This window comes from Homo sapiens, chromosome 15 (assembly GCF_000001405.40).
Source record: "Homo sapiens chromosome 15, GRCh38.p14 Primary Assembly".
Taxonomy (NCBI): domain Eukaryota; kingdom Metazoa; phylum Chordata; class Mammalia; order Primates; family Hominidae; genus Homo; species Homo sapiens.
Genome location: NC_000015.10, coordinates 49,895,650 through 49,918,549, shown reverse-complemented (window position 1 = coordinate 49,918,549; position 22,900 = coordinate 49,895,650). Strand labels below are relative to the sequence as shown.

The following is a 22,900-nucleotide window of genomic DNA, read 5'->3' as shown; positions in this document are numbered from 1 at the left end:
TAACAATTGGTTTATATGAACACTGTCCCCAGTCAGGACAGATATTGGCACAGAACTAAAGCAGGATATTGGAGACCTTGGGTTACTCCTTTAGTTTCTTGATGGTGGGGAATTTGAAGGATCTTAGGGGAAGTGTCAGGGTGATGGGAACACTTTGAAGAAGCTCAGGGAAACAGCTGTTTATCAACCATTTATAGAAATATTTTGGTATTTTAATAACTACTACAGCTGTAACAGTGCAACCTGGCTGAATTCCAGGACTGTCTATACAAGGTACAGTGAGAATTCATTGACCTTCAGGCTTGACAAAATGCCAAATCATTAGTGAATCATCGTGTTCTACTATGTTTCCTATGAAAGAAAAGGGGACCAACATATTTTTGATCTACTGCTAGCAGTAATGGTTAAAACAAAAATGATTTTATGCTTGGCTATTTGTAAATGAAAAATATTCAACTAACTGGCATACACCTATGTTAAAATTCTATCTACTTATTAGGTATTTTTTATAGCATTAGGGGATCTGCACATGTGATGCATCAATTCTCTACATCTTTATCCAAATCATTGATCACAAAAAATAAACAGTAGAAAGTTGAGCACTCCGGTGTGTTACTAGGTAGAAACTCTCTAGAGTTTGATTTTGGTCAGTTACAGCCGTTCTATTATTACTAATATCCATGAGTTTACTATTATTTAGCTTTAATTTCTGTGGTTTATACAAGGTATATGCTGAGATTTTATCAATTACCTTCCTTAATTTAGGACAAAACTAATGATTCCATAGAATTAGCTAGAGTCTAATTATTCTATACAGTTAGAGACAATCAAATAACTCTATTAGATAGAAGGAGTTATCTGATTATCTTAGGTTCCATTTCTATAAAATTAGAGGAAGAATTACCCAACACCATCTGATTCTCCAGTTCTCTAGGAGAACAGTGCTGGGTGGTTTTTGAGATGATAGTCAAATTCCAAATTTCCATATATTTAATGGGAAAATGGCAATGTTGTGTGTGAGAGAACTATAAAAATTTCATAAGAGCATTTTTTTTTGTCATTCAACTGAACATTTTGTGAGTTTTTTCTTCAAATTGTCTTCCATTTCAGAATTAAATATTGGCTAAGTTTAGTAGTTTATCTCTCCCAAGACAGTATTCAGACTTCTGGTCAAAGGTTTTATATTTGTACATATTATGTCACAAGATCTTATTTTCATGAGTGCTAATTTGGGAATGAAAAGGTTTTTCTGAAAACTAGATGAGAAGGCTGCACATTCGTTAGTGTTGCTACTTGTGCATGGGTTTAGCAAGTAGGGAATTTGATCCTGAAACCCAGGTCTTTGAATTTCCCTCTGCACTGCTTGTATTTTATCACCTGTTGTGCTCTCTCTGACATCAGCCCCCTGTAGGCTTTAAGAAAATACAGCTAAGCCCTCAAAACTTTCATTAAAAATGGACTTAGGTTATTAAGTAACATTTTAACTGAATTGGGCTTTATTTTGTGTTAGAAACTGCCATCAACATCGGTTATGCCTGCAACATGCTGACTGACGACATGAATGATGTGTTTGTGATAGCAGGGAATAATGCTGTGGAAGTGAGAGAAGAACTCAGGTAGGTGTTGAAGGAAGGAGGAAAGGATGGAAGGACGAGAGGGAGGGAGGGAAAAAAGATCAGAGAGTTGAGAAAGTGAAAAGCTATGCTATAGTTTCCTGTGGTCTTAACTTAGTATAAAGTTCTTTGTGCATGTTTCCTAAACTTCCTTTCATTTTGGTGACAAACTGAGATGAAGCTGATATCAGTAATGAATTATTGTCTTCAGGCCTCCAACATTTCTCAACTATTTTTAGAAAAGAATTTCAAATCAGCTATGTTGAGTTGTCCTTTAAAATTGTGCTTTGGTTAGTACCTGCTCACTCTTGCGTGGTGATGAGTGATCAGTATCATGAGATACTTCTTAAAAATACCAATGCCCTAGCTTCATTCTGACCTACAAATTAAGAATCTACACGGAATGGGATATGGGACTTTGTATTTAATAAGCACCTAGATGAAGCTTATGATCAGATAAGTTTGGGAAACAGCTGTAAACAGCATATAAAGATGGAATAGAGTCTTTCAGCATTAAAGAAAGTAGATATTTTGATGTAGTTACTATTGAACCCAGATATATACTGTTTATGTGAAATAAAATACTGTGAGATTTGTGTAACTACTGCACAGTACCAGAAAATACGTAAGTGCTGAAATTGGAGGTAGCAGTGGACAGACATTAAAGTTTGAGAGATAATATTTCTTAAGATGTACCAATTTATTTCATTTCCTTATTTCTTGTTACTTTATTTGGAGAAGAACGTTTAAAAATCTACAAAAATATTTTCCTAGAACTTAAAAAATACTGTCTTATAACAATTTTTGCTTGCTTGCTGCTTGTAGTAGCTTCTCTAAGCTCAGCTCACTTAGACACTGGCCAAGCAGAATGATGACACAGATGCAAATTACTTATCGCTTGCTCCATTCTAGATGGGGAGCTAACCTTCCTTCAATATAATAGTAGAGCTCTGTGGCTTCCCAAATATGTCTCTGTCATTAAACTATTCTTCCTGAACTTTAAAAAAAGGAAGTCTTAAAAGTCAGCACCACTACTTGATGGTACTTGTACACGAATCTCCCAGCCTCTCGGTTTTACCTGCAGTTAAAAAAAAAAAAAAAACCTGCTATATCGTGCTGGTTAGAAACTATGACTAAATACTGCACATGTCTTTGCCAAATAAAAATTGGGAAATTTAATTAGCTACTACTAATATAATTTAAATATTATTATTGGTATAATTTTAATGATAGACCCCATAGAGTCAGTTGGGGAAATATTAGTAACTTATTTAATAATCAATTAAAATTTTAAAAGTAGATTCTTTACCTTTTGATTTTTGGATTGACTCTTTAAATTGATATACAATATTTATACATATTTTGGGGGCACATGTGATATTTTATTATATGGATAGAATGTATAATGTTCAAGTCAGTGTATTTAGGATATCCATCACTTTGAGTCTTTATCATTTCTTTGTGTTGGGAAAGAAAGTCCTCTCTTCTGGCTAACTTGAAATATACAATACATGGTTGCTAACTATACCCACCATATTCTGCTGTTGAACTTTATAATTTATTCCTTCCATCTAACTATACGTTTGTACTAATTAACCAACCTCTCTTCATCCCCCGCATTCCCACCCATACAACCTTCCTAGTGTCTGGTATCTATCATTCTACTCTCTATGAGATCAACTTTTTTAGTTTTCGCATAGGAGTGAGAACATGTGAAACTTGTCATTCTGTGCCTTATTTGACTTAACATGGAACCCGTGGTTCCATTCATGTTGCTTAAAATGGTAGGATTTCATTCTTTTTTGATGGTTGAATAGTATTCCATTGTATGTGTATACACCACATTTTCTTTATTGATTCATCCATTTATGGACACTTGGGTTGATTTCATATATATTTGATATTATGAGTAGTGCTACAGTAAACATGGGGTGCAGATATCCCTTTGATATAGTAATTTCATTTCCTTTGAATAAATACCCAGTACTGGGATTGTTAGATTATATGGTAGTTCTATTTTTAGTTTTTGGAGAAATCTCCATAGTGTTTTCTCTAGTGGCTGTACTAATTTACATTCTCACCAACAAAGTGTAATAGCTCCCTTTACCAGCATCTGTTATTTATTAATTTATTTATTTAATAGTAGCTATTCTAGCTGAAATAAAATCACATCTCATTGTAGTTTTGATTTGCATGTCTCTGATAATTAATGATGTTGAGCATTTTTCATATATAAGTTGGCTATTTGTGTGTCTTATTTTGAGAAATGTCTATTCATGTTCTTTGCTTTTTAATGGGATTGTTTTCTTACTGTTTTAATTGAGTTCCTTGTATATTCCAGATATTACTCCCTTGTTAGATGAATACTTTGCAAATGCTTTCTTCCTTTCAACAGACTGTCTCTTCAGTCTGTTGATTGTTTCCTTTGCTGTGCAGAAGCTTTTTCATTTCATGTAGTCTCACTTGCCTATGTTTTTGTTGCCTGTGCTTTTGAGGTCTTAGCCGTAAAATCATTGCCTAGAGACCAGTGTCTGGAAGTTGTTTTCCCTATGTTATCTTCTAGTAGTTATATCATTTTGGGGATTATATTTAAGTCTTTAATTCATATTGAGTTAATTTTTGTGTATGGTGAGAGTTAGGGGTCCAGTTTCATTCTTCTGCATATGGATATTCAGTTTTCCCATCACTACTTATTGAAGAGGATGTCTGTTCTCTAGTGTGTGTACTTAGTGTCTTTGTCAAAAATCCATTGACTGTAAATGTTTGGATTTATTTCTGGGTTCTGTATTCTGTTCCATTGGCCTATGTGTCTGTTTTACACCAATACCATGCTGTTTTGGTTACTTTAGTCTTGTGATATATTTTGTAGTCAGGTAGTGTGATGCCTCCAGCTTTGTTCTTTTTGGTCAGGATTGCTTTGGCTATTTGGGCTCTTTTTTGGTTCCATATGAATGTTAGGAATTTTTTTTCCATTTCTGTGAAAAATAACATAGTATGATAATTTTAACAATATTAATTCTTCCAATCCATGAGCATGGAATGTCTTTTCATTTGTTTGTGCCCTCTCCAATTTCTTTCACTGGTGTTTTGTAGTTTTCCTTGTGGAGGTTTTTCACCTCCTTGGTTAAATTTATCCTTAAGTATTTTATTTTTTTACAGCTATTGTAAATGGGATTGCTTTCTTTCTCAGGTACTTTCTCAGGTACTTCATTATTGGTGTATAGAAACACTACTGATTTTGTATCTTGATTTTGTATCCTGAAACTTTACTGAATTTGGTTATCAGTTCTAAGAGTTTTTGATGGAATCACTTGAATTTTTTCTGAATGTAAGATCATGTTGCTTGCAAACAGGAACAATTTGACTTCTATTTTTCAATTTGGATGGCTTCTATTTTTTTCTCTTGCCTGATTGCTCTGACTAGGAATTTCAGTTATGTTGAATAGGAGTGGAAAAAGTGAGCATCCTTGTCTTGTTCCAGTTCTTAGAAAAAAGGGTTTCAACTCTTCCTCATTCAGTATGATGTTAGCTGTGGGTGTCATATATGGATTGTATTATGTTGAGTTGTGTTCCATCTACACCTAGTTTGTTGAGAGTTTTTATGAAGGGATGTTGAATTTTATCAAATGATTTTTCTGCATCGATTGAGATAACTATATGGTTTTTGTCCTTCATTTTGTTGACGTGATGTATCATATTTATTACGTATGTTGAACCATGCTTGCATTCCTGGGATAAATTTCACTTGATCGTGGTGTATTATATTTTTGATCTGTTGTAGGAATTTTTTTCTTTGAGACACAAAAAAAAAAGCCAGGTGCTCTGTCACCTGGCTTTCACTGCAGTGGTGCAATCGTAGCTCACTGCAGCATCGACCTCCGGGGCTCAAGTGATCCTCCCACTTCAGCGTCCTGAGTAGTGGGGACTACAGGTATAAGCCACCACCACACCCAACTAATTTTTGTATTTTTTGTAGAGAGAGAGTTTTGCCATGTTTCCTAGGCTGGTTTCATATTCCTGTGCTCAAATGATCTGCCTGCCTCCGCTTCCCACAGGAGGATCATTTGAGCCCAGGAGTTTGAGACTAGCCTGGGAAACACGGCAAAACAAGGCATGGAGCCACCACACTCAAGCCTGCTGTTGGACTTAGTTTGTTACTTTTTTGTTCAGAATATTTATGTCTATGTTCATCAGAGATATTGATCTGTAGTTTTCTTTTTTTGTTGTGTTCTTCTCTGATTTTGGTATGAGGGTAATGCTGGCCTTGTAGAACAAGTTAGGGAGAATTCCCTTCTCTTCAGTTTTTTTGGTATACTTAAGGATAATTTATAGTAATTCTTCTTTACATGTTTGGTAGAATCTGGTAGTGAAGTCATCCAATTCTGGGTTTTTCTTTGTTGGGAGACTTTTTATTGCAGACTCAATCTCATTATTGGCTTTTGGTATGTTCAGATTTTCCGTTTCTTCCTGATTCAATCTTAGAAGTTTGCATGTGTCCAGAAATTTATCCATTTCCTCTAGGTTTTCCTGTTAGTTAGCATATAGTTGTTCTTAAAGTCTTGATCTTGTATATTTCTGTGGCGTAAGTTGTAATGTCTTTGTTTTCATTCCTGATTTTGTTTATTTGGATCCTCTCTCTTTTTTTCTTGGTTAGTCTAGCTAAAAGTTTATTAACTTTGTTCATCTTTTCAAAAAAACCAAGTTTTCATTTCATTGATCCTTTGTATTTTTTAGTCTATTTTATTTACATATGCTCTGATCTTTATTATCTTTTACCTTCTACTAATTTTGGGTTTTGTTCTTGCTTTTCGGGTTCTTTCAGTCATTTCATTATATTGCTTATTTAAAATCTTTTTACTTTTTTGATGTAGGCATTTATTGCTATAAAATTCTCTCTTAGCAGTGCTTTTGCTGTATTCCATAGGTTTTGGTATGTTTTGTTTCCATTTTCATATGTTTGAGGAAATCTTTTCATTTTCATCTTACTTTTTTCATTGGCCCAGTATTCATTCAGGAACATGTTTAATTTTCATGTAGTGTATTGTTTCTAAGTTCCTTTTGGTATTGATTTCTAGTTTCATTCCATTGTGGTCTGAGAAGATACTTGATATGACTTCAGTTTTCAAAAATTTGTTGAGACTGATTTTGAGGCCTAACTTATGATCTATACTGGAGAATGTTTCATGTGCTGGTGAGAAGAATGTGTATTCTGCAAGTGTTGGATAAAATGTCCTGTGGATGTCTGTTCAGTCCATTTGATCTAAAGTCCAGTTTAAATCTAATGTTCTTCATTGATTATCTGTCTAAATGATTTATTTAATGCTGAGAATGTACTGTTGAAGTCCCTCATTATTATTGTATTGGAGTCTACTTCTCCCTTTAGATCTAATGATATCTGCTTTATATATCTGGGTACTTCAGTGTTGGGTGAATATATATTTAGAATTGTAATATCCTCTTATTGTAATATCCTCTTACTGAACTGATCCCTTTATCATTATAAAATGATAATTTTGGCTCTTTTTACTATTTTTGGCTTAAAGTGTCTTGTATCTGATATAAGTATAGCTACTCCTGTTTGCTTTTGGTTTCTGTTTGTGAGGAATATCTTTTTCTATACCTTTACTTTCAGTCTATAGGTGTCTTTACAGGTTAAGGAGTTTCTTGTAGGCAGCATATAGATCACATTTTTATAGATCCAGATCCAGGCCATCTGGATCACATTTTTAAAAAACCCATTCCGCCATTCTGTATTTTTCAAGCGGAAAATTTAATTCATTTCCATTGAAAGTTGCTATTGATATGTGAGGTTTTGTTCCTGTCACATTGTTAATTGTTTTCTGGATGTTGTATATATCTTCTGTTCCTTTATTTCTTTTTTATTATATATTTTTGTGTCAGTAGTTTTCTTTAGTTGTAACTTTGAGTCCTTTCTCTTCCTCATTGGTGTGTTTGCTTTACCAGTGAGTTTTGCACTTTTATGTGTTGTTCTTAATAGTAGATATTGTCCTTTTGCTTCCAGGTTTAGGATTCCCTCAATTATTTTGTAGGGCTTTTCTAGTAGTGTTGAATTCCCTTAGTTTTTGCTTGTCTGGGAAAGACTTTATTTCCCCAAAGAGGGTAATTTTATTTCTCCACAATAAAGTAACTTTATTTAGAAATAAACTTATTTCTCCAAAAAGGATAACTTTGCTGGGTATAGTATTTCTTGACTTCCAGATACTGTCTTTCAGCACTTTGAATGTATTATCCTGTTATCTTCTGGCTTGTAAGGTTTTTACTGATAAGTCTACGGTAAGTCTGATGGAGACTCCTTTATAGGTGACTAGATGCTTTTCTCTTGCTATTTTTAGAATTTTATCATTGTCATTGACTTTAGACAGTTTGACTATAATGTATCACAGAGAAAACCTTTTTGCATTGTACCTGTTTGGGGATTGCTGGGCCTCCTGTATTTCAATGTCTAAATCTCTTGCTAGAGTTGGGAAGATTTTATCTATTATTTCATCAATAGGCTTTTGAATGCTTTTGTTCTCTCTTCACCTTTGGGAATGCTGATAATTCAGATATGTGGTTGCTTTATGTTGTCTCGCACGTTATGTAGGCTTTGTCTACTCTTGCTAATTCTTTTGTTTTACTTTTGTTTGGGTTATTTCAAGAGACCTGTCTTCTTCTGAAATTCTCTCTTCTTCTTGATCTAGTCTATTGTCAAAACTCTCAAATATATTTTTTTATTTCATTCAGTGAATTCTTCAGTTGCAGGATTTCTGTTTGGTTCTTCGTTATGATATCTACCTCTTTGGTAAATTTCTCAATCATATCCTGAATTGTTTTTTTCATTTCTTTGTATTGTTTATCTTTGTTCTCTTGTATCTCACTAAACTTCCTTAATATCATTATTTTGAATTATTTTTATGGGAATTTCATAAATTTCCTATTCATTGGAATCTGTTACTGGAGAATTATGGTGTTCCTTTGGAGTTGTATTTCCTAGCTTTTTCACGTTTCTTGTGTCCTTACGTTGCTATCTGCACATCTGGTATAACAGTCGCTTCTTCCAATTTTGTGGATTTACTTTCATAGGAGAGGACTTCCTCAATATGTATCTTGGTATTGGTTGGGTAGGGCACTTTGGCTTTGATTCTGGATGTGTGCAGTAGTATAGTCTCCATATAATTTATTTGGCTTTCTTTTTTTTTTTTTTTTTTTTTTTTGGTAAACAAAGCCAATGGTGTCTGTGACTTCCTCAGTGGCTTAGGGTGTGGTTGTTAATGGAGACTGTAGTGAAGTTTTATTGGGCATGGGGACAGCAGGTGGGACAGTCCTTGGGCCCCAGTGGGAGCAGTGGTAGGCTGAGCCTGCCTGTCTTTGGGTCCAAGGGTAGCACATTTGGCACTGGCATTAGTGTGTCCTGGTGGGATGATTCTTGGGCCACCAGGAGGCTTGCTCAGGTGACAGCAGTAGAAACAGTGGGCTGGACCTTGGGCCCCTGGGCTGCAGGCATGGCATAGGCAATGGCAGTAGCAGTGGTTGGACAACTCTCTGGCTCCCAAATAGCCTATGCTGGTGTTGGCAGTGGCTGTGACAGGCTGGTCAGGCCATTCCCCAGGTCCACGGGTGGTAAGTGCAGGTGGGTGCTAGCTGTGGTGGTAGTGGCAGGCTGGGTTAGTCTGTCTTCCAGTCTCTGGGAGGAGTGGTCATGATGGTGGATGGAGCCACGGCAGTGGATGGTGGATGGAGCAGGGTGATCCCCAGGCCCCTAGGTGGTATGCTCAAGTACTGGGGTGGGGGGTATGGAGTGCGGTCAAAGCCAGACTGGACAGACCTGTCTGTATGTTCCCCTTCTCCCCGCTGTCCAGTGGTATGTATGGGTGCTGGCTGTGGTGGCAGGGACAGGGTTATCCCAAGGCCTCTGGTGGAATGCTCAGGTGGGGGTGGCAGTAGCTGCACTCTGGCCGTGCTGGCTGCTGGGGTGAGTGGGATTGCTTTTAGTAGTAGCAGCCTTAGGCAGGTGGCTGGGAAGTGTGTGCTTTGGCTGTAGGTGGCAGCTATATGTAAGGTAGCCTATCCTTAGGGCATGTGGAAATGTGAGGAAGTCCTGTTGCTGGAAGGGTAGTGGGGTTGCTGTCAGCGTCTTGCACTTTGGCCATGGTGGCAGTGGTGGCAGTGGTGGTGGCTGCAGGTGGGGAATGTCAGTGGAGCTCCAGGAATGTGGAAAGCCAAGTACTGTTGGGCCCTCAGGCAGGATGCAGTCTGGTGGGGCTGGGCTCTCAAAATGACACTTTGCTGTCATTTTGTGGTATGTGGGACCCAGTGTGAGCTCCCTCTCTGGGGCAATGGCACTGCCTTGTCTTCAGGCAGCTCCCTATGTTAATTTCAGGGTCTGAAAGGGTTGAGAGGCTCTCCTATGGCTAGGAGTGGAGTCTGTGGTGAGATTGTGGACCACTGGGCATCCCTCACTTATACTTTCCCTACACAGGAGAGCCTTTCTGGGCTCCCAGCCAGACAGGATGCCTTGTTTCCCTCTTCTTCTTTTAGGTGTTTCCTGTCACTTCTCTCTTGAACTCCAATATTTTCTCTTAGATGACATATTTGAAGTATGATTATCTACTCTCTATCTTGGTGCTTCTTTGTGGAGGAGGCAACTGCCAGATGCCTTTAGTCGTACATCTTGAAGGACCACTCTCATTCAGAACTTGACTCTTGCTGAAGGAAGATAGATGCAAACAGATCTAGATTTTAATAAGCCTGTTGCTAAATGTTTTGAGACAGTGCCTGGAAGAGTATTGTAGGCAGTACACATGTATTACCTCATTTTGTTCTTAAGAAACTCAATCGTAGGCATTACTGTTTTCCCTGTTGGACATATGAGGAAGTCGAAGTATATAGAGGGTAAGTAACTTGCCCAAAGTAGTCCGTGGTTCAGGTGGGATGTGAATCTAGGCAGCTTGGTCCCAGAGGCTGTGCACTTGCCATGTGTTTCCCTAAACATACCTCAGATTTATTTTTATTCCCTTTAATAATTAACCTAAAAATATAGTTGTTAAGGTATCTTACTGCTTCACTTGAGTAAATGGTCAGACACCAGATTAGCAAGTAGAGTCAGCAGAAATTTCCAGGGGAAATAGCAGATGTAGGAGAAAGAGTATGGGCTTCATGTCAGCTGGATTCAAGTTGGAATCTCAGCTTCATGCTTAGGCTGAGTGGGAAACTTTTGATATGGGAATAACCTCTGTTTGCTTGGTTTCCTTATTTGTAAAATGGGGATACAAATATCTACTCTATATCTTATTTTATTTGGGGGATTAGATAAGAACTTAAAGCTTTATGACTGTTCCATGCGCATCTTTCTTGCCTTCCTCATTCCTTGTCTATTTCCTCCCTTCTCCCTTCCTTCATTCTTTCAGCCACTGATCCCAATCTTTCCACCAACAAGGACTACTTTTGTAACTATTTCCCCAATAAGGGCAGCAGGCCTGAAACAGTGGGGAAGGAAAGGGTAGAATAAAATAGACAGCTTTTTGGAGGTAGAATGAATAGGTCTTGTAATTTGATTGGATGTGAAGAGAAATAGTAGGAGGCTTTGTCACTGCTAGGTTTCACAGCCCAGAGTGTGCTCAGGCATGCAAGAATAGAAACTCATTAAATTTTCTAAAACTGAACTTGAACCTCTTTCTGTCTGAGGACAGAACAATTAAACTAGGCATTTTCAGTTAAATTTAGTTCAAGTCTGGGATGTACAATTGCCTCACCTGTTACTGTTCATCAGTGTCTACCCTGCTGGCATCCAGCACTTCCCACGTCTGTGTTCCTGTCTGGTCTCTGCTCTCTTAGGGTTGTTGTTGGCTTTCCCTCTTGGCTGACTTCCACACTCTGCTGGGGAACCATGGAAAGTGTGGCTGCTCTTCCTCACCTCTCTATGCCCAAGATGACTTGTGTTCTTATATGGCCACTTCAGTTTCTAAAATCCCTTTACTCTGCTGATTCCCCTAAATTTATCTGAGGATTCCATTAGCCACATGGTTCCTTCATCCACTACCAATCCAGGGGCGGGTCAGGACCCCGGCTTTTTTTAGCCATCACTTATCAGTTTCTAAACTCCTCAAAGTCCCCTTTCCCTAGGCTGGGATGGGAAATGAAGGAAAGTAATTTCTTCCTACTCTGCTCCTTTTGTCATCATTTTAATGCCTTGACTCATTTAAAGTTTATTCTTTTGATACTTAAAGAAATCCCCCCCTTCTTTTTCCAAAAGTCCAATTAGTGAAATTCCAGATTGCTGAAATTCAGACTAATGATGCTGCTATGAGTTTCAAAGCCCTATTTTGGTGCTCAAAAACAAAAGTTTCGTTGTATTTTTCTCCTTCTATATTTGGCTCTGCAGATCCTCCTGAAGCAAAGTATGTTTCTAGTTAAATGGAGAGGATCACTTGTGGTCCTAGTAGTAGTGGGAAAAGGAGCGATTGAGTTAATATCTCAAGATTTTATCCAACTACATTTGGTTGGCTAGATGACACAACTGTCATTACGTGGAAAGAATATGGAGAAATGTGAACTACTTGTATGCTGTTGTTGGGACTGTAAGTTGATAGAAACTCCCTAGAGGACAAACTAGCGATATGTTTCAAAATTACACATACGCATAGTTTTTACCCAGTGATTCTTCTAGAAATTTCCCTTAAGAAAATAAGTGAACAAATGTATGAATTTGTATAAAAAGGAATATTTATTGCTCTATTGATTTATGATAATAGAGATGAGAAATAGCTCAAATAACCAGCCATGAAGGATTTTGTTAAATGCTATGATATATACATGCAATGGAACACTCTTCAGTCATTCAAAGTGATTTTGTATTTTTCGACATTGGAAAATGCCCATGATATTTTTGTTAAATGATAAATGAGACTACAAAACATCATGCGTAATGTGATCTCTCTTTTTGCAAAAAAGTGTGTGTGCATGTGTGTGTGTGTGTGTATATATATGTAGGTACATATATGTATAAAACACTATACATCTACCCACCTCCTTACCTCCTTGCCTATCAAGATCTGGAGGATATAAACAGTGGTTCTCTCTGGGTGATAGAATTATGGATCATGTTTACTTCCTTCTTTATGGCTGTTTGTATTATCTGATGTTGTAATAGTGTTTGTGTAATGCTTTTACAATTAGAAAAAAGCTAAAAAAATTATCTTTTTTAATGAGAAGAAAAAATATTCAAAAGAAAAAAAATAAAGAATTTCCAGCTAGACTCAATATTTCAGGAGCCTTGGGGCCACCTTGCTCAGCTGACTGGAAAATAATGTTATTTCTACTCAGACTTGTAGGTAACCCCATTCTTAGAGTATAAGACAGAGAGGCAACATATGATAGAAAATTCTATGTAAGAGAAATCATTATAGTTATAGTGTGCATTTTCTTAATACTAGGACTGAGGGTAAAATGGCATCCAAAAAAGCTATTGCTCAAAGTTGTTCTCTATACTCCTAATCTCAGCTACTTATATCTAAGCCTACAGCTTTGGGATGAAATATTGAAATCATAAATTTGCACCATCTCTTTTTCTTGTGTTATGCTTTTGAGTTCAGTGGGAGTTCATTTAAAAAGAAAGTGTAACCAAAGAACAGGATCTGAACAATAGTAGCTATTGAAAAGAAATGACCAAAATGCTTATATTTAAACCTGTCAAATGTGCTTAGATTATTTCATAAACATGGATATATAATTTTTATACATATCATACATACGGCTTGTTTCAAATTTAGTGTCGTGAAACCATTTTAGACACTTTGAGTCCTGGGTTAATTTTGCTGCTGTAGCTGCCTTATTATTAAAGGCATGCCTAGAAAGCTACAGTTAAACCCTGCTATGGTTTCTCAGAAAATTACTACATTGAATACATTTCACCAATTCATATGTCTTCTGCTGAAAGGAAAACAGACTGAGAATTTAATTTTGATTGATCTGAGAGGAAAACTCATTCCGTATTTCATTTTTGTAGCATTGATCACGTGTTTTGTTATTAGAAAAACTCATGTTCTTTAACTAAATCATAAAGTGACTCCACTGCTTCTAAGAAGTATCCCAGTGATATAACTAGGAATTGATATTTCTTCTTTAATCAGCAAAATATGCATCAGTATTTTTTGAACATCTACTTGGTGGAAAATTATTTATTTGAATGTGCAGGGTTCTCAAATGCAAATGGCTTCAGGAACAGGCATATAGCATTAATCATGTGATCTGGGCTATCTATTATACATCAGGGAGTGATGGGGCCTTTGGTGAGTGGGAACATCATGTTGGCCATAAAGCCATAGAGATTCTTTAAGACACTGTGCAGGCCAAACAAAATGCATTTTGGTCCTAATTCCTAACCCCTAGTCACCCAGGAAAAATGTTTTAGTACATTAAATTTCTCTCATGAATCATAAAATTTTAGAGCACTTACTTAGGTAATCTTGTAGATCTTCTGGCACACACTGGTGCAGCAGCCCAAGTTTTCATGATCTATTTTGACTGCTTGGGGCACTAGCCAAACTGACTGGCTGGTCCCATTTCATGAACTCTAATAATGAAACTGGTTCAGTGGTTGAACATCTTAAAGGTCTCTCAGGTAGGGTAGTAAGGAATGGAACTGGGAATTCAAATCAAAATTTCATGTACTTTCTCCCTTTCTCTACTGTTGGCAGGGTAGTGCTGTCCCTTAAAACTGTCCCTCCAGCACTGTGTCTTAGTCCAACCTAGAGGCAGTCTGTGGCTGACTCTATGTGTAAACCAGCTTGGTGCAGTAGACCAAGAACTGTGAATATGAAGACGTAGGTTCCAGCCATGGATCTGTCGCTGGCTAATCAAGTGGCTAGAGGTCAGATAACTCAACTGTGGAAACAAACATAAGATGTCAGAGGCAGTCTGAACCCAGGTTTCCAGGTTCCAAGCTCAAAGCTCCAGCTTTCATATCAAAGTCCAGATTTTCTTCTTTTAAACAGGATGTCATGGTTTCAATCCATTTCCAACAGATCGATTTTTTTTTTTTTTTGAGACGGAGTTTTGCTCTTGTTGCCCAGGCTGGAGTGCAATGGCGCCATCTTGGCTCACTGCAACCTCCGCCTCCCAGGTTCAAGTGATTCTCCTGCCTCAGCCTCCCGAGTAGCTAGGATTACAGGCATGTGCCACCAAGCCTAGCTAATTTTGTATTTTTGGTAGAGATGGGGGTTTCTCTATGTTGTTCAGGCTGGTCTTGAACTCCTGACCTCAGGTGATCTGCCCGCCTCAGCCTCCCCAAATGCTGGGATTACAGGCATGAACCACTGTGCCTGGCCACAACAGATCAATTTAACCTTTCAATATAGAGTGCCTTAAGAGGACTGACTAAACGACTCTTTTTTCCAACCATCCTCTTTTCTTCTTTATAGGTTGTATGCAAGCCAGTATGTGCCTAACTATGCTTTGCTGTGCTTGTAGTGACATGGGGCTGTGAATGCCACAGTTGCCTCAACTGTTAATGCGATTCTGCATGCCAAGAATTGTAATAAACTGCCCTTCATTACGCAGCTTGGAAAAAACAGGCACTCTTTTGTTTTAGCATTTGTTATTTGTATTATGTGGTTAAGCATTGTGTGTACGCTTCAAAAATGTATAGCTCATAGTCATTGAAGGGAGTTATGTGTAGCTTTTTCCCTTCCTAATAAATCGTTTTTGTGAGAACCAGCTGGTGTTTGAAGAGCTAAATTCCAGGAAGAAAAAGAAATGACAGCTACAGAGCGTGGGCAAAGGTCTAAAAATATGAAAGCCCAATCTGGCCAAGAGACGTTGGCCTGTACAGAGAAAGTGCAGTGACAATTTCAGCAGAGCCAGAAAAACTGTCCCTTTTCTGCCTGGAAAAGGGTTCATGTGAGATGTTAGGAAGACAGTTTAAGGAGAAAAAAATCCTAAGTAAATAGAATTTCAGCCAATACTTTCATGAACTTCACCCTTCTTTGGAATGTTTTTACTCTCTAAGGGGAAAACAGATTGAGTCATTTATACAGCGAGTGAGAACTTTACTCAAAAGGAGTACTCAGGAGATGTTTTCCCTGTGGTGCTTTCTGAAGTCACAATTTATGAGCTCTGCAACATTGTCAGAGAAATGTTCATTTCCAAGGAACTTGTCTCCCTTGCTTTCTTTATTATTTGGCACTGTACATTTTCATGACTGTGAGGAGGATTCCCTGACATAGTTATCTGATGGGAAAGTCTGATCCTCTCACTTACAACAATGATTTTTCATGTCTGTTCTACTTCCCTCTCCCCTTTGTAACTCCCTAAATTTCACACATAGCACTCTGACTTTATACATCTTTTTCTTTGATTCTGCAAACTGATTGTTAAATGTGTGATATGATTCTTGGAACCATGTGACCTCTGGGTTCCTAAATGCAGATGTGATTTTGGTCTTGGACAGCAGAAGGAGATATTGAGCTAGAAGTTAATGTATCTTTTTGTATCATTTTTATTTTTAAACTTAGTATGTAAACAATTGGTGTTACATTTTCAAATAATTAGACAGCTGAGGGCTAAAACAGTTGTTTTGGTAAGTGGACATTCTCTTCTTTCAGAGGAGCCTCAGCATAAAACCATTTTAATAAATATTTTCTACACAGGATGAGTAATTTCATTTCGCCAAAAGACACAATATTCACTTTCTGGTCTTCTCTCACTCTCCATGTTCTCCTGAGTGCTCATTTTGTAAATGCCAGTTATGACCCATGCTGGATAGTTCTCTGGTCGTGGTTGAAGCTTCTGTAGGTTTGTCAGCTTGCCTTATGTTACTTCAAAGCCTGCACTCAACTGTTCTTGAAGAGGAATTTCCCTTCCTTTAAGGGCATCATCTTTCCATTTTGGAGAGAACAGTAGAATGCCACTTCTAAGTGTGCTATGTCACCATACAATCTTCCTCTTAGATGGCAGAGATGCATGGGATGTGAGCAGGATTGCTTTATAGCTACTGCTAATTAGATCTAGAGCATTTGGAGGGCGTTTCCATTTGGAACAACCCTCTATATTTTGGTGTCTAGTTTTTTTCCTAGAAGATTTATTCTATTTTTTAAGCTGAATACAATTTTTGCTTAAAATGTTCTATCCTATTATAATGGCTATGCCAATTCAGTAAGTACCATCATTTTTCTTCTTGTTAAATTTTTTTTAAAAAATATGTTTCTCAGAGGACTATTTTAAGCTGGATCGTATTACATTGTACCTCAAATTGATGAATTTATTTTATATATAGATGTCCTGGAATTCCTAGAAGATTTCATCAATTGTCTTTAGTCTTGTGCTTTCCATTATTTAACAGCATGCCTGCCAGATAGTGGTTCTTAAGCCCTTGAAGCTCAGACAGTCTTAAGTACCAAATCTATCAAGATCCCCTAGTTCAAACACAGCTCAAGATGGTGATTTAGCTTTTAGGTCATTTTAAACATTCAAGATATTGTATTTTCATTATGTTTACTCTCCTACATCCTGGAATTTGGAAATTTGCTAAGATATTCCCATCACAAAGAATTATCCAGCTTGCTTACTGAAACTGGGTCTTATGCCATATTCTCTCTGAATAGTGGTGAAATAAATTTACCTCTAGGCAAGTTTCTTGTTAGAATTAGTAGGCATGCTCTGTATGCTTTGTTATGTTTCACTTTTCACCCTCTCCTTTAAGGAAAGCAAAACAAAATTTGTTTGGACAAAACAGAAATTTTTCCAATGGCCATGTAGTTTGTGAAAAAAAGCAGCAGCTGGAGTTGGATTCTATTGTAGAAGAAACCATAACAGGAGATTATGCCTTAATCATAAATGGCCACAGTTTGGTGAGTTTGCCTAAGGTTTTTGTCCTTTCTTTTTCTTCACTGCAATAATCATCTCTTTTGTGCTATCATAATGAGACCTCCTTTGTCTTTTCCAGACAAATGTCACTACTAGATACAGGGCATATGCGATGATTTCCTGTTTGCAAAGGGAAAGGAAACTTCTAATATATATCTCATACATTATTATTTGGATCACCACAGTAAAGGGGAGGCTCCAAAGAAATGCTAAATTCACAGAATATCAATCTTGTCTAAATGACTATAGACCACTTAGCAGTATTATTTAAGTGCCTTTCTAGAGGGGAGTGTTACGGCTCACTGTTACTTAATTAAAATAATGCAACTGGGTGGATGTATTATAATTATTGCTCTTACTAATGTTTGTGATTTGTGGAGCACAACCTGACCTTCATGTAATTACTATACGAAATTATTGCCATTAAGATACCTCTAGTGGTTTTTCTAAATAGCAGCATTTTACAGCAATGCCAAACAATTTGCTTTGATTAGGAAATCTGGTTCTTGTCCTAATAGAATGAACTTGCATTGTACTTTTAATGTAGTTCAGATTCTGAATCTTGAACAAACATGAAAATACTCTTCTGAGTTTCTAATTTAAAATACAAAAGCTCCAATTACGCTCCAGTGAAATTATAATTTATATGCACAAGGAATTAATCTCACATCTTTCTCTGGCTTTGATGATCATTTTTCACTTTAGGGTTTGGACAATAAATGTATCTTCTTGTAGACAGTTTCTTAGAGGACAAAAGAAGTTGGGTATGAGGATATTGTGTTTTCTCCCTTGCGATCAGCTGTCTGTTGTTAGCTCTTAGTGCTTAGAGCATTATCCAGCTGGATTCCAGACATAATGATGTGTTGCCTTCTACACCATGGAAAGTTACAGAGCTCAGCTGCAGGCCAAACTCAGTTGAAAGTTTGTCCACATGACACAAAATTCCTTTATGCACAGAAGAACAGTAACTGAAAATTACGACTGTCATCTGGGTCTTAAAGCTGGTGGCCCCCAAGCTGAATTCCCCAGAGACCACAATATGGAAAGGGAATCTTATGAGTTATACTTTGACTTTCTCTCAGGCTCAAAGAATCCAATGTGTGGTGACATTAAGAGTACTCAGGTGATAATTTATACCATTCTCTCTCTCTGTCTCTAAGTGCATTGAAAGAAGGAGGTAAGATAGATGCTCTTCAAGAACACCATCATATTCAAAGCCTGAAACTCATGGAACCATGAAATGCCATTTTTAATTTAAGGAGACTTGACTATGTTTTTGCTAGTATGGTCAGAAAGCTTTTTCTTTCTTTCTTTTTTTTTTAATCATGATTCTAATTTGCTCAAATCCTGATGCTTTGCAGAATGTAATTTGGCCTTTGTTTTTTCTCAGAGTCTTAGCATAGTTTTTCACTTGCTGATAATAAAAAAGAGAGAGAGAGAGAAAGAGACCATTCTAGGCAAGACAGACAATTATCTGTTTTCTCTTTCAGAAAGAGTGGTAATATTTGAAAATGCCAACTCACAATTTCACCTAGGAATTATAGGTTTGAACATGAGAATTTTCTGTACTGAGTTATGTTTTTATATTCATTTACCCATCCAGCCATTCATCCATTGACATTTTTATTAAGCGTGCCCCGGTCACAGTGCTAAAGTCTGAGGATAAGACTGTGAATAGAACATGGCTCTCGTTTTAGGGATTGCTGTCTAGTGGGTGAGATAATCACACAGTGGTATGACAAATACTGTAAAAGAGGAATGAACACAATGCTTTGAGAGCACAGAGGGAGACAAATTTACTTCTTTGTGGGAGAATCAGGGAAGACTTCCTGGAGAGAGTGATATTTTCAAGTAGAGGTAATGGCAAGTACAAAGGCACAGAGGCAAGAAAGAGCCCATTCAATCATGAGGAACAAGCAATTTGGCATGATGGGAAAAAAAGTGTAGACTTAAAAGTGGTGATAGAAGATGAAACTCAAAAGGAATGCAGGGGCCAGATTGATATGGGCTGTGAATGTCTTGCTAAAGATTCACTCAAAGATACTGATGACTCAAAGTGTAAGTGGATTTGTTTCCTCTTAATGTGTTTATTAAATAATTTACAGTAAAACATTTTCTAGGAAAAAAAAATTGCACAGTTAATTGGAAGGGATTGTGCTATCTTTTTTAGTGATTTCTTGGTATAGCTAAAGGCTCTTATGCATTTGGATAGGAGCAAGATTAGAAATGGTTGAGGAACCCTGTCTGTGACGCAGCTTGCGTGCCCCCCTTTTGCACAGGCCTCTCTGGGTTTCAGTCACTATGTTCTTCAAGGGACAATCCCCAGATCATCTGCTTTTCATTTTGCCTGCACATTAACAATCACAACAAACTAAATATACAAAACAACAGTGCAAAGAAACAAAAAGCCCATCAGATAGAATAAACAAAACATCATCATTTGTAGTTCATTCTAAACTTGGTGAGCTGGTAGATAGGTTCTGTCTTTTGTTTTCATCAATTTTAATGGTTTCTAGAACTTCTCCAGCATTTAACTCTCTCTCTCCAGTGCAGCATGATATCAAGGAAGACATATAAATGGCAGTTTTGTTTATTTTTATTTTAAAATTCCTTAGTAGTATTTTAAAATTTGCTTAGGAGTTCAATACTCATTTCTTTGGTTCTTGTTGCTTGTGTGATTCTGAATCAACAATGACTTTTTGGAGTGAATGAAATGGTTTAGCAAACAAATGAAATGGTTTTAGCAAACAAAACATTTGTCTTGTTTCTCAACCCTCATTTATTGTTTCCTGTTCTTGTTTGAATTTTATTTTTAATCATACAGGCTCATGCCCTAGAAAGTGATGTCAAGAATGATCTCCTAGAACTTGCTTGCATGTGTAAGACTGTAATTTGCTGCAGGGTCACTCCACTCCAGAAAGCCCAAGTGGTAGAGCTGGTGAAGAAGTACAGAAATGCTGTTACTTTGGCCATTGGTGATGGAGCCAATGATGTCAGCATGATTAAAAGTAAGAGGATATTTGCTCAATGGGGTATGCTGCATACATGGGGTCCTCAGTTTCAGCATTTGGCAATATATAATCACTAGATTGCATTAAAATTTAATTTTGCCAGTGATTCTAAAATGAATGATACTTCTGGGTCCAATGCTACCACCATTATTAGTATTCGTAACAAAATTTCTTTGTCTTTAAATAAACCATTTGTGTATTTTTAGGCTAGAAAAAGACGTCGTTCACCTTTTACTATTTGAGGAAGTAAGTAGCTACGGTGTAGAGGAAAGAACACCAGACCCACATTTGTAACATGTGACTTTAACCCCATCTTTGCCACTTACAAATTGTAAAAACTTCTGTAAGTCACTGAACTTTTCTGAGGCTGATTTTCTCTTTTGTAAAACTAAGAGAAATATCTATCATAAGTGTTTCATCAGATAATATATGTGAAAAATTATAATTGCAATGGCTGTAAGTTTTCCGTAAATAAAAGAGGAATGACAAGTTTCCAAAAGAGATCGTGGCTTTGTTTTGGGAGTGACAGTGTTCCTCTTTCCTTTGTAGGTGCTCACATTGGTGTTGGCATCAGCGGCCAGGAAGGATTGCAAGCAGTCTTAGCCAGCGACTATTCATTTGCACAGTTTAGATATCTCCAAAGGCTTCTCCTTGTTCATGGAAGGTGGTCTTATTTCCGAATGTGCAAATTCTTATGCTATTTCTTCTATAAGAATTTTGCATTTACACTTGTGCATTTCTGGTTTGGTTTCTTCTGTGGTTTCTCAGCCCAGGTTGGTAAAAGCATGTTTTTTTTTGTTTGTTTGTTTGTTTGTTTTTGTATGATATTACAAATGACTCTTCTTCATAGCTCTTTACTAATAAATTCAGAGCATTTTTTAATGGCTGATTCAAGTAATAGTATTACAATTATGTAATTGATAGTTGACTTGAGCTTTGTACCCAAGAAGAATATGTATCTAGCTGGAATTTTATTTATTTATTTTCTTATTTAGATAGTCAACCAGTGAGTACTCCTTCCATGCATACTTTAGTTTTTGTTGAAATGTTTTTGGTATGATGACAGGTAAGCTTGTTGTAGAGTTTTAATTTAGAACAGAAGTCTGCAAATCACTAATAAGAAATGTTGAGGTATCTTTACTGGGAAGATGGTTTCTTATCCAACACACTAAATGTATCTGGACTGATTGGTACTCTGACATCAAAGCTGTTTAGACAGCAATTCATCAGCTAAAAGTTGATCTATAGATAATGCTGGTAGGAAGAAAGAAAATTAGCAAATGTATAAATTAGGATTCTATTTTTATATCGCTTCTTATACATTAAAGGATAGTTATTTAACCACACATCTTCAATATCAGAAAAGTTTTGACCCAATGAATCAACTGTAAAATGTAATGTCTATATCATTTAAATATACTTATAAATTTAAAAAATTTGTTACCAAAAACTTAAATGTAGATATGGCATTGACATTTTGAACAACAATACAAGAAAAAGATTGTCCTTGAAAAGGAAATGGTAACCATAACACTCAGAGATTTATTCAATTGTTCTTCCCTTCTTTGGGTTTAATCAATGACATGGATTCAACGATATGCATGAAGGTGATTTTTAAAAAATCATTTTATTCAAAAAGACTGAGGATAAATGAAATCTTGGCATCTTCTTCTTACATGTGCTAAGGGAGATTAGTGAATTCCTTTTTACAATGAAAATACATTTTCAACATTTTTTCCTTCTTCTGGGAAGTTAAGATTTCTTAAAGTGAGGCATACCTGTTCCCATTCCTAATTTTCTCTTTTTAGGATAACATGCCCTAAACTAAGAGTAGATTATGTTGATATTTTTGCCTTTTTTTTGTTAATCTCTTGACAGTTGAAGTAAAGCAGAGTCTTGATTTTAGCTACTCAGAAGTAGAAGTTATCTTAGTGCTACTTCAGAGTAGGCGTGGGGCTGGGGTTATTTGCATGCTCATAATTCCTCCTTTGTCCAACAAAGACAAGCATTGGAATGTGGCCTGTGGCTTCCTAGTCTGTTGATTTTCCTTCCACATAAGAACAAAGCAAGACCATCTGCTAACGGGTGTTTCTAAGAGATCTAATTTTCATATTCCAAAGGCTTAAGGCTGAAGAATCTCAAGACTATGAAGGGACAAACCCCATTTAAAAACTCTTAGAACACAGAAGAGTAGTCAGTGATTTGTATTTGCAGACGCACAAAGCTTGAATAGGCAACTGTTCCACTAAGTTGTCTGTTAAAACTGTGAAGTTGAAACTAACGTTCAATGACTTCTAACCTCTACATTTAGGTCATTTTCTGGGTTCTGATAAAAATCGGTCAGAGCCAGATATTAAGCAACTAGAATTTTTATTCTTTCACTGGTATTTGCATTTTAAAAGAGAACAACAAGGG

The 22,900-nt window shown here is 36.8% G+C and overlaps 1 protein-coding gene across 45 annotated transcripts in view, besides 1 other annotated feature; it reads left to right on the top strand.

Moving 5' to 3' along the window:
* The window catches only part of ATP8B4 (ATPase phospholipid transporting 8B4 (putative)), a 323,617-nt gene that overhangs the window by 263,305 nt on the left and 37,412 nt on the right, over nt 1-22,900 (top strand). For 43 of the 45 annotated variants that reach the window (NR_073596.2, NR_073598.2, XM_011522056.4 and 40 more), the window contains 4 exons: nt 1,511-1,616; nt 17,311-17,458; nt 20,299-20,482; nt 21,035-21,258. Coding sequence is in view for 42 of the 45 variants with exons in the window: in XM_011522056.4 (XP_011520358.3) it covers nt 1,511-1,616; nt 17,311-17,458; nt 20,299-20,482; nt 21,035-21,258 (662 nt within the window). In the remaining 3 variants the exon portion in view is untranslated. Of the gene's footprint in view, nt 1-1,510; nt 1,617-17,310; nt 17,459-20,298; nt 20,483-21,034; nt 21,259-22,900 lie in introns of those variants that run through there. The other 2 variants (NR_073597.2, XM_047433100.1) reach the window with 2 other exon arrangements.
* Nucleotides 8,874-9,374: an enhancer, noted in NCBI's record as "H3K4me1 hESC enhancer chr15:50201373-50201873 (GRCh37/hg19 assembly coordinates)". NCBI's record gives its function as "activates a minimal SCP1, AML or CMV promoter by ChIP-STARR-seq in naive H9 embryonic stem cells {active_cell/tissue: H9 hESC(naive)}" and the evidence as "EXISTENCE:reporter gene assay evidence [ECO:0000049][PMID:30033119]".